This window comes from Homo sapiens, chromosome 9 (assembly GCF_000001405.40).
Source record: "Homo sapiens chromosome 9, GRCh38.p14 Primary Assembly".
Classification (NCBI taxonomy): domain Eukaryota; kingdom Metazoa; phylum Chordata; class Mammalia; order Primates; family Hominidae; genus Homo; species Homo sapiens.
This window is the reverse complement of record NC_000009.12, coordinates 21,822,136-21,834,615: the sequence shown is the minus strand read 5'-3', so window position 1 is coordinate 21,834,615 and position 12,480 is coordinate 21,822,136. Positions and strand designations below refer to the sequence as shown.

The 12,480-nt window shown below is 42.1% G+C and overlaps 1 protein-coding gene across 8 annotated transcripts in view, besides 4 other annotated features; it reads right to left on the bottom strand.

Moving 5' to 3' along the window:
* The window catches only part of MTAP (methylthioadenosine phosphorylase), a 138,480-nt gene that overhangs the window by 106,500 nt on the left and 19,500 nt on the right, over positions 1-12,480 (bottom strand). The gene's annotated exons all lie outside the window — the stretch shown is intronic.
* Positions 919-1,058: an enhancer, noted in NCBI's record as "active region_28243". NCBI's record gives its function as "activates an Ori minimal core promoter by ATAC-STARR-seq in GM12878 lymphoblastoid cells {active_cell/tissue: GM12878}" and the evidence as "EXISTENCE:reporter gene assay evidence [ECO:0000049][PMID:35858748]".
* Positions 1,308-2,507: an enhancer, noted in NCBI's record as "P300/CBP strongly-dependent group 1 enhancer chr9:21832108-21833307 (GRCh37/hg19 assembly coordinates)". NCBI's record gives its function as "activates an origin of replication core promoter dependent on BRD2, BRD4, P300/CBP, MED14 and CDK7 cofactors, with strong dependence on P300/CBP, by STARR-seq in HCT116 cells {active_cell/tissue: HCT116}" and the evidence as "EXISTENCE:reporter gene assay evidence [ECO:0000049][PMID:35650434]".
* Positions 1,308-2,684: a biological region, named in NCBI's record as "P300/CBP strongly-dependent group 1 enhancer GRCh37_chr9:21832108-21833307".
* Positions 2,375-2,684: an enhancer, noted in NCBI's record as "active region_28242". NCBI's record gives its function as "activates an Ori minimal core promoter by ATAC-STARR-seq in GM12878 lymphoblastoid cells {active_cell/tissue: GM12878}" and the evidence as "EXISTENCE:reporter gene assay evidence [ECO:0000049][PMID:35858748]".

Genomic DNA, 12,480 nt, shown 5'->3' with positions numbered 1-12,480 from the left:
CCATTGCCATTGCTGGCTCTGAAGATGGATGAGGGCCATATGCCAAGGTGAGTGGCAAAGGCAGGGAAAGGGATTCTACCCTAAGCCTCCAGAAAGGAATGCAGCCGTGCTGACAATTTTTCTAGTTTCAGTGAGACCCACGATACACTCCAAACTTACAGAACTAAAAGATAAGGTCTGCTTCTTCCTCTTGCTTTAACCTTTAAAGCCCTCTAGCTAGGCAAGGGGACTAATTTTTATCTCCCCATAGCTTGGGATCCTACTGGAAAACACGGATTTCAGGGACTGGCTTATCTACTGGCTTTACCACTCACTAGCTGTGTGCCTCTGGGAAAGTCACTCTCGTCTCTCTGCACCTCAGTTATATCAGTTTCCTTAAACGGGAGTAATCCCACTTACCTTATAAAGTCCCCGTGAAAACTGAATGAGACAACATGAAGCAAGTGCTTGGCACTTGTCACTATCATTTATGGAAAATATGCTTCTAAACATTTCTTCTGCCAATCCCAAAGTATGACATATTGATGGGCCTCAAATCAAGGGTATCCAACAAATTGCTTAAGGTTGTCAAGCAGGGATATGTGATAAGAAAAGCTAGTAGACAAATAAAAAAAAACAGCCTATGGAAAAGTAAAGGAGACAAAATGATGTGTGCTGGCAGGAAAAATGAGTTCAAGAGAGTGAAAGGAAGAACACTGGCACTTTCAAAGAGAGGGAGAAAAGCCTAGAAATAGACTGACTGGTAGGTTGTTTCTTGAATCAAGACTCTTACATTGGCTTGAAGATAGCTGTTAGTTAATACGTTTCCTTTGAGGAAATGTGGTGTTGCAAACAAGCTGAGGGCAAACACCCATCCCCTGGCAGAAGCAAACACAATCATCGACCTCTGAGGACATTTCAGAATACGGTCTGTATCCACAACAAGCCCCAACATGCAGAATCGTGAGTCAATTAATTTACTGGCAGAGCAGAATAACGGCTGCTCATAAGGAGGACGGTTTAGGGGAAGTGAATCTACCCATCATTTAAAATATATCCCAAGAATCAAACAGCAGCGTGAATAGGCAGTCATGAGAAAAAATTCTGACAGAAACATCAGACTAAGAAGTGGAACAATTCTGTCTCTATAACCAGAAGGAAGTGAGGCTCACACATGTAATCCCAGCACTTTAGGAGGCCAAGGTGGGTGGAACCCTTGAGTTTAGATGTTCAAGATCAGCCCAGGCAACATAGTGAAACCCTGTCTCTACAAAAACATACAAAAAATTAGCTGGGTATGGTGTCACACCCTTGTAGTCCCAGCTACTTGGGGGGCTGAGGTGGCAAGATCACCTGAGCCTGGGAGGTAAAGGCTGCAGTGAGCTGTGGCGCCACTGTACTCCAGCTTGGGCGAGAGTGAGATCTTGTCTCAAAAAAAAGAGAAGTGAAAACTTATGAATTTGGACCAATATCACTAAGATCCTCCCACTGTTCTGGTATCAAGAGTGCCCCTGAGTGCTTGTGGTGGCATGAAAAAGGAGGAAAACCAATGGATGTTTATATCCCAGTCAAGGAAGGCTGCTCAATAAACAGGTACCATAGTTTCCCCTTATTTTCTATTATATTTCATGAGATCATGCTAAACAATAGCACAAAAATAAAAATCCTCACTCTACATAGGTGGTGACAACAACCTCTTTGGGCCTCAGTTTTCTCACCTTTTGTAAAAGGGAAGGATAAGGTAGATAGAAGATGTCTTCTAGAGCTGTGATAATAAGCAGTGCCAGAAACATAGTAAGGGCCTAAGTTTCTTCAAGTATAAACTGGAATAATGACTGCTGTATGCCGTAAGTGGGATTAACTGATTGTGACACCTAATAGGAACTCAAAAACTGGTAGTGTAGGATTTTTAATAAAAGGATGTATGATGGGAAGTTAATAACACAACTAGGTTATGGAACAGAACGTAAGAATGAACCTCATCCAGGGGAATAGTGGACACCACTTCAAGGACAGCTACAGACAAGAGGATGACAAAGAACAGGGACGCAAGTAACTGGGGAAAGGGAAGGTGAAGGAAGGTGAAGAGTTTATGCTTAAGTTTCTGTCTTCTCTATAAAGGTGGAGGTGACATTCTCAGCTAAAGAGTGAGGGAAATGAGTAAGAAGAAGTAAGAACAGTAAGGGTTAAAAACAGCTTACTATTTTTAGCAATGAGAGAAAGAGCTAAACAAAGGCTTCTTGCGTAACTCTTTACCATAAAACGCTTTCTAGTCATCAAGAGGCAGAAAGAGAATGATCAAATACTTGACATCAGAGCATACTCCCAACCTCAGGGCCCAGACACGGGCCTTTATGCTATGACATAAAGTTCTAGGGGAAGCCCAAGGCAGGGCTGGTCTCTGGGAGAAGGAAACAGACTGACATAACTGATCCCTCAGCACTGTGTTTATAGCGGGACTTTCCTGATGAGTAAGAATGCGTGACAAAAGCAAAGTCGAACCTCTCCCAGTTCTACCAAGAAAATAAGTTGAAGAAATAATCTGAAGAGGGGAGGATACCAGAACTTTTAGGAATCAATTCAACACCCTCATTTAGCAGATGAGGACACTAAGTGACAAAGGAATTTCACGGCACAGCCAGGAAAGAATTCTGGATGTCCTCACTTCTAAGCTGAGATTCTTCCACTGCATTCTTTGAGAAGGCATAACCCAAACACAGGCCTTAGGCACAACAGGCCAATATGTTATTAGCCACATTTTATAGAAACTGTTTAGCACCGGGAATCACACTCTGCTTCCTTTAATATTCAGTTTTTGGTCATATTTTTCTCATTGTAAAAAAAAAAAAAATCAATATCTGCAAAACATTCCTGATAAAGAAGACTATTAAAAAAGAAATCTCATCCTTCTCCTTACTGATATGTTTGCAAGTTTCACCTTGAGATATTTCTGACAGTGATAGCAGTTGAGCAAGTCCTACTCATCTGATCCTTTTCTAAAAAATATGTAGCTGGGTGCAGTGGCTCATGCCTATAATCCCAGCACTTTGGGGAGGCCAAAGCAGGAAGACTGCTTGAGGCCAGGAGTTTGAAACCAGCCTGGGCAACATAGTGAGACCCCATCTCCTTAAAAAAAAAAAATTACCAAGCACAGTGGCAGATTCCTGTAATCCTAGCTACTAGACGGGCTGAGGATTGCTTAAGCCCAGGAGGTAGAGGCTACAGTGAGCTGCGATCAGGCCACTGCACTCTACCCCGGGCAACAGAGAAAGATCCTATCTAAAAAAACAACAAAAAAATACAATGTGGGCATCTTTTCAAATAGTTTATAGATCTAGTTGTTTTTCTTAGATTTGCATAATAAATATGGTGTACTGATTTCCTACAATCATCAGGATTAATGGTAAAGAGAAAGAAGAGCAACTGTAGAAATTGCTGGAATCCCCTGTCCATGTATCTTTAATGGCATGGACAGTTAGTAGTTGGGGGTGAAAGAAAGGCCATATCATCAGTTCTGCCATACATACAAATGAATGTGCAAAGGTATCTAACAAGAACTGGGCTAGAAAATGGAGGGCCCATGTACCACAAGTACAGGAGGAGACAACAAAATGCCTCATGACTTGAATAAAGCAGCTGGCAGGGAAACAGTCTTGCTTTGCTCCAATGGCAAAAATCTCATTAAAAACCAATCCTGTGCACCACTTTATAATGCATCATCGAAGTCGAGCTTTACAAGTCCGGTGGGTGTGGGAGGCAGGAAAGAGTCATGCCTTTCTTCTCCATGGCTGATGAATAAAAACTAAGCAAAGGCCCAGTGATGCATAGTCATGCTTCTACATTTCTCTAAGTCTCATTTACTTTGACTCTTTTATGAGGTCTTTTTTCCCCTATTAATAGAAAAACTTGCTTCAGTTTCCCATAAGTGACTCAGTGAGAGCCAGGTGTGCATACATACAAGGGTGTGTACCATAGGAGAGAAGTTCCAAAATTATGAATCTGGGAGTACATATCTTATGAGAGCCTTTTAATGTATAAACAGCCTGATGACATTCTTTTAGGACAGACTAAAGGTCAAATACTTTCCCCAGTTCAAACTGACTGTTTAATCGCTGCAAAGAAGTGGAACAAATCCCACTCCTAACCATCTTTTACCCTCAGTGGCCAAATGACTTGTGGCTCTAACAATGGGGACCTTGTACAAGTTAAAAGAAATGGATTAATCAAACACAATCCAGCAGGAGGCATAGGCACTGAAGAAACCTACTGCAGACAAGCCTCCTAGACAAAGTTCTTGGTATAGATTCTGATTTTCCTATTTTTAATTTTTGGTTTGGGAAGAACACTACACACAGAGCCCAGGGCCTATGGCAAGGAAGCATCAGGAAACTCGTCCCTGTGCAACAAAAACGGGAAAATGAAAAATATAACACATTCTTTTGGAATTTAAGTTCTAGACCAAGATATATGTTGCTTTCTATGGATGCTCTACTCACAAATGAAAGATGATTATTTTCACTTTAATTGCTATGGAATTTACTTGAATGAGAAAGACACAAAGACTGACTGCACATACCCAAACATACTTGAACCCACTGCACTCTCTACCTCTTTTTCCAGGGCAGTCACACCCAGGGCTCCCCTTTTCTTATGCCCAGGCTTTTTAACTTCATCAGCTGTAATGTAGCATGAGAGAGAGAAGAAAAAAAAAGATTTTCAGATAAGAATGACATTTTTCTTAAAAGAGCTTCCAGCATTGTCAGAGTCCTTCAAAAGTATATTTCATTATTAGAGAAGAAATCTAATGTTTCTAAAAACAACCCTAAAAATCAGCCACATGTCTTTCTTAAATCTGAGGTTGGTCCCCCCGCCCTGCTCATGCTGGCACTGAAGGAAAAGAAAATGATGTGCTTTAGCTTGGCCATCTATAAAATAAGAATAGCCGTATTATTAAACAATCTCGCTAGCCTTTGAAGAACACTTTAGGATGAGGATTTTTTTTTTTTTCTGAGACAACGTGCTGACAAACTTACGGCAATAGGCCAATGTGTGTGGTTCTAGGTAAGTCCCTGGAGAGAATACACGGGCAGTGTAGGGAAAAGGAGCCTGGCCAGGCACAGTGGCTCACACTTGCAGTGAGCCGAGATTGCATTACTGCAGTCTAGCCTGGGCAACAGAGTGGGACTGTCTCAAAAAAACAAACAAACAAAAAAAAAAAACAACAAAAGAATGAGAGAGAGAGATGGTGCAATTCAGCCCTCCATTGGGAAGAAAGAACCAACGTGTAGTGGGTAAAGTGATTTGCACAGGGCCAAACAGAGTCAAGATGAAACCTCCTGATTCAATGCTCCTGCCCCAGCTGCCCTGGAATTCTATAATCCACGGGGTGGCTTTACAGGATGTTACAATCCTGTTAAACAAGTTGGGGCTGTGGGTATGACTCTGGGAAACCCCAGGCTAAAAATGGCACAGCCTATTTGTATCTGATGCCATCAGCAAGTGGAGGTAGGAGATGCCCGTCTCAATACACCAAGATTCACTTTACTAAGAAATGTGCTATCAGTAAAACACATAGAGGGCATTAACCACAAGGCATCTTCTGCTATGAGATGTTCAAACACATAATGAATGATATATATGCAAGGCATCTTCTGCTATGAGATGTTCAAACACATAATGAATGATATATGTGCTCAAGCCTGGTTAACTGGAACCCACTCAGCTCAATCAAAGGCAGCAGCACTTAAAAGATGCATCCAACAGCAATATGATGTTAGCCACCTACATAGTTTTAAAATTTCTAGTGGTCACTGAAAAAGTAAAAGAGAAACAGGTAAAATTAACTTTAAAATCTTGTCTAACCTAATATATTCAAAACGTTATCACCCCAAATAAGTAATCAATGTAAAAATTGAGATTTCATGCTAAATTATATTCTCTTAGGGATCCTTCTTTTTTTTTGAGATGGAGTTTCACTCTTGTTGCCTAGGCTGGAGTGCAATGGAGCAATCTCGGTTCACTGTAACCTCTGCCTCCTGGGTTCAAGCAATTCTCCTGCCTCAGCCTTCCGAGTAGCTGGGATTACAGGTGCTCACCACACCTGGCTACTTTTTTTTTGTATTTTTAGTAAAGACGGGGTTTCACCATGTTGACCAGGCTGGTCTCGAACTCCTGACCTCAGGTGATCTGCCTGCCTCAGCCTCCCAAAATGTTGGGATTACAGGCGTGAGCCACTGCACCCTGCCAGGGATCCTTCTTTTAACAGATTCTTTCCTCCTGTTGTTGTAAAGTAGTGTCAACTAGTGGACCCTCCAGCCAGTATGCACACACTCTCAATAATGGCACTCAGTTACTGAGAAGGTTAACACATGCAAGATCCCACAAAAGGCACTTATTAGAGACTTTGAACTTCCAAGGAAACATTAAGAGGGCAGGTTATCCATATGTCTCATAAACAGAAAAATAGTAGAAGATCTTAAGGTTACCTGGCTAAGATAGAATGAAACCAGATCTGATGGCAATACCTGTTTTCTTTCTAGTCTCCATCTTCTGACCCAACTGCTTTCTTGAAAGAGCCAGTATGTGAAACATCTACATTTAAGACATGTGAGTAAAAGATCTGGGAAATGCAACAGCGTATAGTCATACTGTTTAAGTAACAGATTAACCCAAGGCTCAGTGCCCAATTCAGACTTTACAGTATCATCTGTAATACTTTATACATCTGGATCATCCTGAATATGGAGTTTTGTATTCCACTCTATTTAGCAATCATATTATAATCATTTTCTTAAACTATTACCTCCAAACACATGGACGTTGACAGCCATTGAGATTTTGATCAAGATGTCTCCAAAACACAAACTCCAGCCTATCTCTCTATTCAAATGACTATGTTCAAGCCCTCAAAAATTACTGACAGAGCAAAGATGGGCCAGGAACTGTTGTGGGTGTTGGTGATATGGTGCAAACTGGGCAGAAAGTGACTTTGATCTCACATGGCTTAGAGGGAAACAGGTCACAAATATATAATGTCAGGTATAAATACATTATAAGGACATAACTTGGGGTGAGAAATATGTAACCATTTTAGTCTAACCCCATTATTTATTAGGTTGAACCACATGAAACTGCTGATATTCAACCATTTCTGACCTACAGAATGGGCAATTTCAAAACAGTTTCATTCCATCAGGAAACAACCAAGAATGCTTCTGATAGACTGGAAATTATAATGAATCCCTGAAAGGCAGAAGCCACAGTGGCCTGGACTGGACAACCCTCTCTCCCATAGCAGAAGCTCTAGGAGCAGGCTGTGAGTACAGTAAGCTCAGAGATAACTGATGGGAGGAGCAGCATGGACTGAGGTGGTAGGCAGGGTGATTGGATGGGGGATTGTGGAAGGATCCCCAAATGATTTAACTCTGCGCTACTCTCCACTCTCCATCCAGCCCAGGAGGCTCCTGTCTTCACCCAGAGCATTCTGAGAGGCAATTATTTCTACCAGGAATAGGGGAGGGGGTGGCCCTAGTACAGCTGCCCCTAATCTTTTTGGCACCGGGGACTGATTTCATGGAAGATAATTTTTCCACAGAGAGGGTCAGAGGGGATGGTTTCAGGATGAAACTCTTCCACCTCAGATCATCAGGCATTAGTTAGATTTTCATAAGGAGTGCACAACACAGATCCCTTCCACGTGCAGTTCACAATTGGGTTCCTGCTCCTATGAGACTCTAATGCTGCTGCTGATCTGACAGGATGGGGAGCTCAGGTGGTAATGCTCGCTCTCGCCCCACGGCTCACCTTCTTCTGTGCAGCCCGGTTCCTAACAAGCCACAGGGGTGGGGGATCCCTGACCTAGAGACCACCACTTTCCCTTGTGATTTCAACTACCTCTAAATGCAGAAAAGGTCCAAAAATTTGGCAGTCTATTATTGTTGTTTTTTTGGGGGGGTAAAGGAACAATATATATTACTTGTGCAGTTAAATAATAATAATAATAATAATAATAATAATAATAATAATAAACAAAACCCCAGCACCTCTGGCACCTGATCGATCGCATTATGAAGGGACAACTGGACATCACATGCCTTCCGACAGGATGCAGAAGGAAGGATCCTTGCCAAGAATTCAAACCTGGTTCTGATCAGGCCACCAGAACTAAATCCAGTTTATAGCAAACACAGGGGCCGGGAGAAGACACTAAATGACACTTGATACAATTAGTAACATCCAGAATGTGGATAGGCAGTAAAAGGAAAAGGAAAAAAGAAGGTGGAATCTTCCAGACTAGAAGGCTTATTAAGCTTATGTGTGTAATGAGTGGACCCTTATTTGAACAAACCAACTATTAAAAAAAAAGTTCATGAGACAATAGAGAGAACTTCCTAGATATCTAATACTAAGGAAATACTAATTTATACTCTCTTTAAAAAAAAAAAAAAAGAAAATGTTCTCTTGAAGCTAGGAATTAGGAACTTAGAGAGTCCCTGATTATTATTCTTTTGTGTATATGTTTAAAAATTCCCATAATATAAAGAGACAGCCTATAGATAGGAAAAAAATGTTTACAAACCATACCTCGGATAAGGGGTTAATACCCAAAATACGTAAGGAAACTAAATGAAAGAAAGTTCTAAAAACACAACCTGATTAAAAAAATAGGCAAAGGACTTGAATAGACATTCCTCAAAAGAAGACACATAAATGGACAACAGCTGTATGAAAAATGCTCAACATCACTAATCATCAAGAAAATGCAAATAAAAACCACAATAAGATATCACCTCACACCTGAATGGCTTTTTTGCTGTCACCCAGGCTGGAGTGTAGTGGTGCATTCATGAATCATTCTAGCCTTGACCTCCCAGGCTCAAGCGATTCTCCCACCTCAGTCTCTTAAGTATCTGGGACAATGGCTGTATATCAACACACATGGCTAATTTTTGTTTTATTTTTTACAGAGACAAGGTCTCACTATGTTGCCCAAGCTGGTCTCAAACTTCTGGGCTCAAGCAATCCTCTTGCTTCAACCTCTCAAAGTGCTAGGATTACAGGCGTGAACCACTGTGCCAGGCCACAATGGCCATTATCAAAATGACAAAACAAAGTAAGTGTTGATGAGGATGTGACAAAAACAGAACCCTTGTATACTGCTGGTAGGAATATAAATTAATACAGCCATTACTAAAATTCCCCAAAAAACTGAAAATATCAACTACCACATGATCCAAGAATCCCATCTCAGAGTGTATAAGGAAATGAAATTTTACGTCAAGAAAGACATCAGCACTTCCATGGTCCCTGCAGCATTATTCACAATAGCCAAGATATGGAAGCAACATAAACGTCCATCAACAGATGAACAGATAAAGAAAATGTGGGAGAGGCGGTTCCAAGATGGCCTAATAGGAACAGCTCCAGTCTACAGCTCCCAGCATGAGCAATGCAGAAGACAGGTGATTTCTGTATTTCCAACTTAGGTACCGGGTTCATCTCACTGGGGCTTGTCGGACAGTGGGTGCCGGAGAGCGGGTGCAGCCCATCGAGTGTGAGCCAAAGCAGGGTGAGGCATCGCCTCACCTAGGAAGCGTAAGGGGTCAAGGAATTCCCTTTCCTAGCAAAGGGAAGGGGTGACAGACGGCACCTGGAAAATCGGGTCACTGCCACCCTAATACTGTGCTTTTCCAACTGTCTTAGCAAACGGCACACCAGGAGATTATATCCCGTGCATAGCTCGGAGGGTCCCACGCCCACAGAGCCTCGCTTATTGCTAGCACAGCAGCCTGAGATCAAACTGCAAGGCGGCGGCAAGGCTGGGGGATGGGCGCCCACCACTGCTGAGGCTTGAGTAGGTAAACAAAGTGGCTGGGAAGCTCTAACTGGGTGGAGCCCACCACAGCTCAAGGAGGCCTGCCTGCCTCTGTAGACTCCAACTCTGGGGGCAGGGCATAGCCAAACAAAAGGCAGCAGAAACCTCTGCAGACTTAAATGTCCCTGTCTGACAGCTTTGAAGAGAGTAGTGGTTCTCCCAGCACAGAGTTTGAGATCTGAGAATGGACAGACTGCCTCCTCAGGTGGGTCCCTGAACCCCGAGTAGGCTAACTGTGAGGCACCCCCCAGTAGGGCAGACTGACACCTCACACGGCTGGGTACCCCTCTGAGACGAAGCTTCCAGAGGAACAATCAGGCAGGAACATTTGCTGTTCAGCAACATTCGCCGTTCTGCAGCCTCCACTGCTGATATCCAGGCAAACAGGGTCTGGAGTGGACCTCCAGCAAACTCCAACAGACCTGCAGCTGAGGGTCCTGACTGTTAGAAGGAAAACTAACAAACAGAAAGGACATCCACACCAAAACCACATCTGTATGTCACCATCATCAAAGACCAAAGGTAGATAAAACCACAAAGATGGGGAAAAAATAGGGCAGAAAAGCTGAAAATTCTAAAAATCAGAGCACCTCTCCCCCTCCAAAGGAACACAGCTCCTCGCCAGCAATGGAACAAAGCTGGATGGAGAATGACTGACGAGTTGAGAGAAGGCTTCAGACAATCAAACTTCTCTGAGCTAAAGAAGGAAATTCGAACCCAATGCAAAGAAGCTAAAAACCTTGAAAAAAGATTAGACGAATGGCTAACTAGAATAACCAGTGTAGAGAAGTCCTTAAATGACCTGATGGAGCTGAAAACCATAGTACGAGAACTACGTGACGAATGCACAAGCCTCAGTAGCCGATTCCATCAACTGGAAGAAAGGGTATCAGTGATTGAAGATCAGATGAATGAAATGAAGCGAGAAGTTTAGAGAAAAAAGAGTAAAAAGAAATGAACGAAGCCTCCAAGAAATATGGGACTATGTGAAAAGACCAAATCTACATCTGATTGGTGTACCGGAAAGTGACAGAGAGAATGGAACCAAGTTGGAAAACAGTCTGCAGGATATTATCCAGGAGAACTTCCCCAATCTAGCAAGGCAGGCCAACATTCAAACTCAGGAAATACAGAGAACGCCACAAAGATACTCCTCGAGAAGAGCAACTCCAAGACACATAATTGTCAGATTCACCAAAGTTGAAATGAAGGAAAAAATGTTAAGGACAGCCAGAGAGAAAGGTCGGGTTACCCACAAGGGAAGCCCATCAGACTAAAAGCAGATCTCTCGGCAGAAACTCTACAAGCCAGAAGAGAGTGGGGGCCAATATTCAACATTCTTAAAGAAAAGAATTTTCAACCCAGAATTTCATATCCAGCCAAACTAAGCTTCATAAGAGAAGGAGAAATAAAATCCTTTACAGACAAGCAAATGCTGAGGATTTTGTCACCACCATGCCTGCCCTAAAAGAGCTCCTGGAGGAAAGGAACAACTGGTACCAGCCACTGCAAAAACATGCCAAAATATAAAGACCATCGATGCTAGGAAGAAACTGCATCAACTAACGACCAAAATAACCAGCTAACATCATAGTGACAGGATCAAATTCACACATAACAATATTAACCTTAAATGTAAATGGGCTAAATGCTCCAATTAAAAGACACAGACTGGCAAATTGGATAAAGAGTCAAGACCCATCAGTGTGCTGTATTCAGGAGACCCAACTCACGTGCAGAGACACACATAGGCTCAAAATAAAGGGATGGAGGAAGATCTACCAAGCAAATGGAAAACAAAAAAAGGCAGTCGTTGCAATCCTAGTCTCTGATAAAACAGACTTTAAACCAACAAAGATCAAAAGAGACAAAGAAGGCCATTACATAATGGTAAAGGGATCAATTCAACAAGAAGAGCCAACTATCCTAAATCTATATGCACCCAATACAGGAGCCCAGATTCATAAAGCAAGTCCTTAGAGATCTACAAAGAGACTTAGACTCCCACACAATAATAATGGGAGACTTTAACACCCCACTGTCAACATTAGACAGATCAACGAGACAGAAAGTTAACAAGGATATCCAGGAATTGAATTCAGCTCTGCACCAAGCGGACCTAACAGACATCTACAGAACTCTCCACCCCAAATCAACAGAATATACATTCTTCTCGGCACCACATCACACTTATTCCAAAATTGACCACATAGTTGGAAGTAAAGCACTCCTCAGCAAATGTAAAAGAACAGAAATTATAACAAACTATCTCTCAGACCACAGTGCAATCAAACTAGAACTCAGGATTAAGAAACTCACCCAAAACTGCTCAACTACATGGAAATTGAAGAACCTGCTCCTGAATGACTACTGGGTACATAACAAAACGAAGGCAGAAATAAAGATGTTCTTTGAAACCAATGAGAACAAATACACAACATACCAGAATCTCTGGGACACATTTAAAGCAGTGTGTAGAGGGAAATTTATAGCACTAAATGCCCACAAGAGAAAGCAAGAGAGATCTAAAATTGACACCCTAACATCACAATGAAAAGAACTAGAGAAGCAAGAGCAAACACATTCAAAAGCTAGCAGAAGACAAGAAATAACTAAGATCAGAGAAG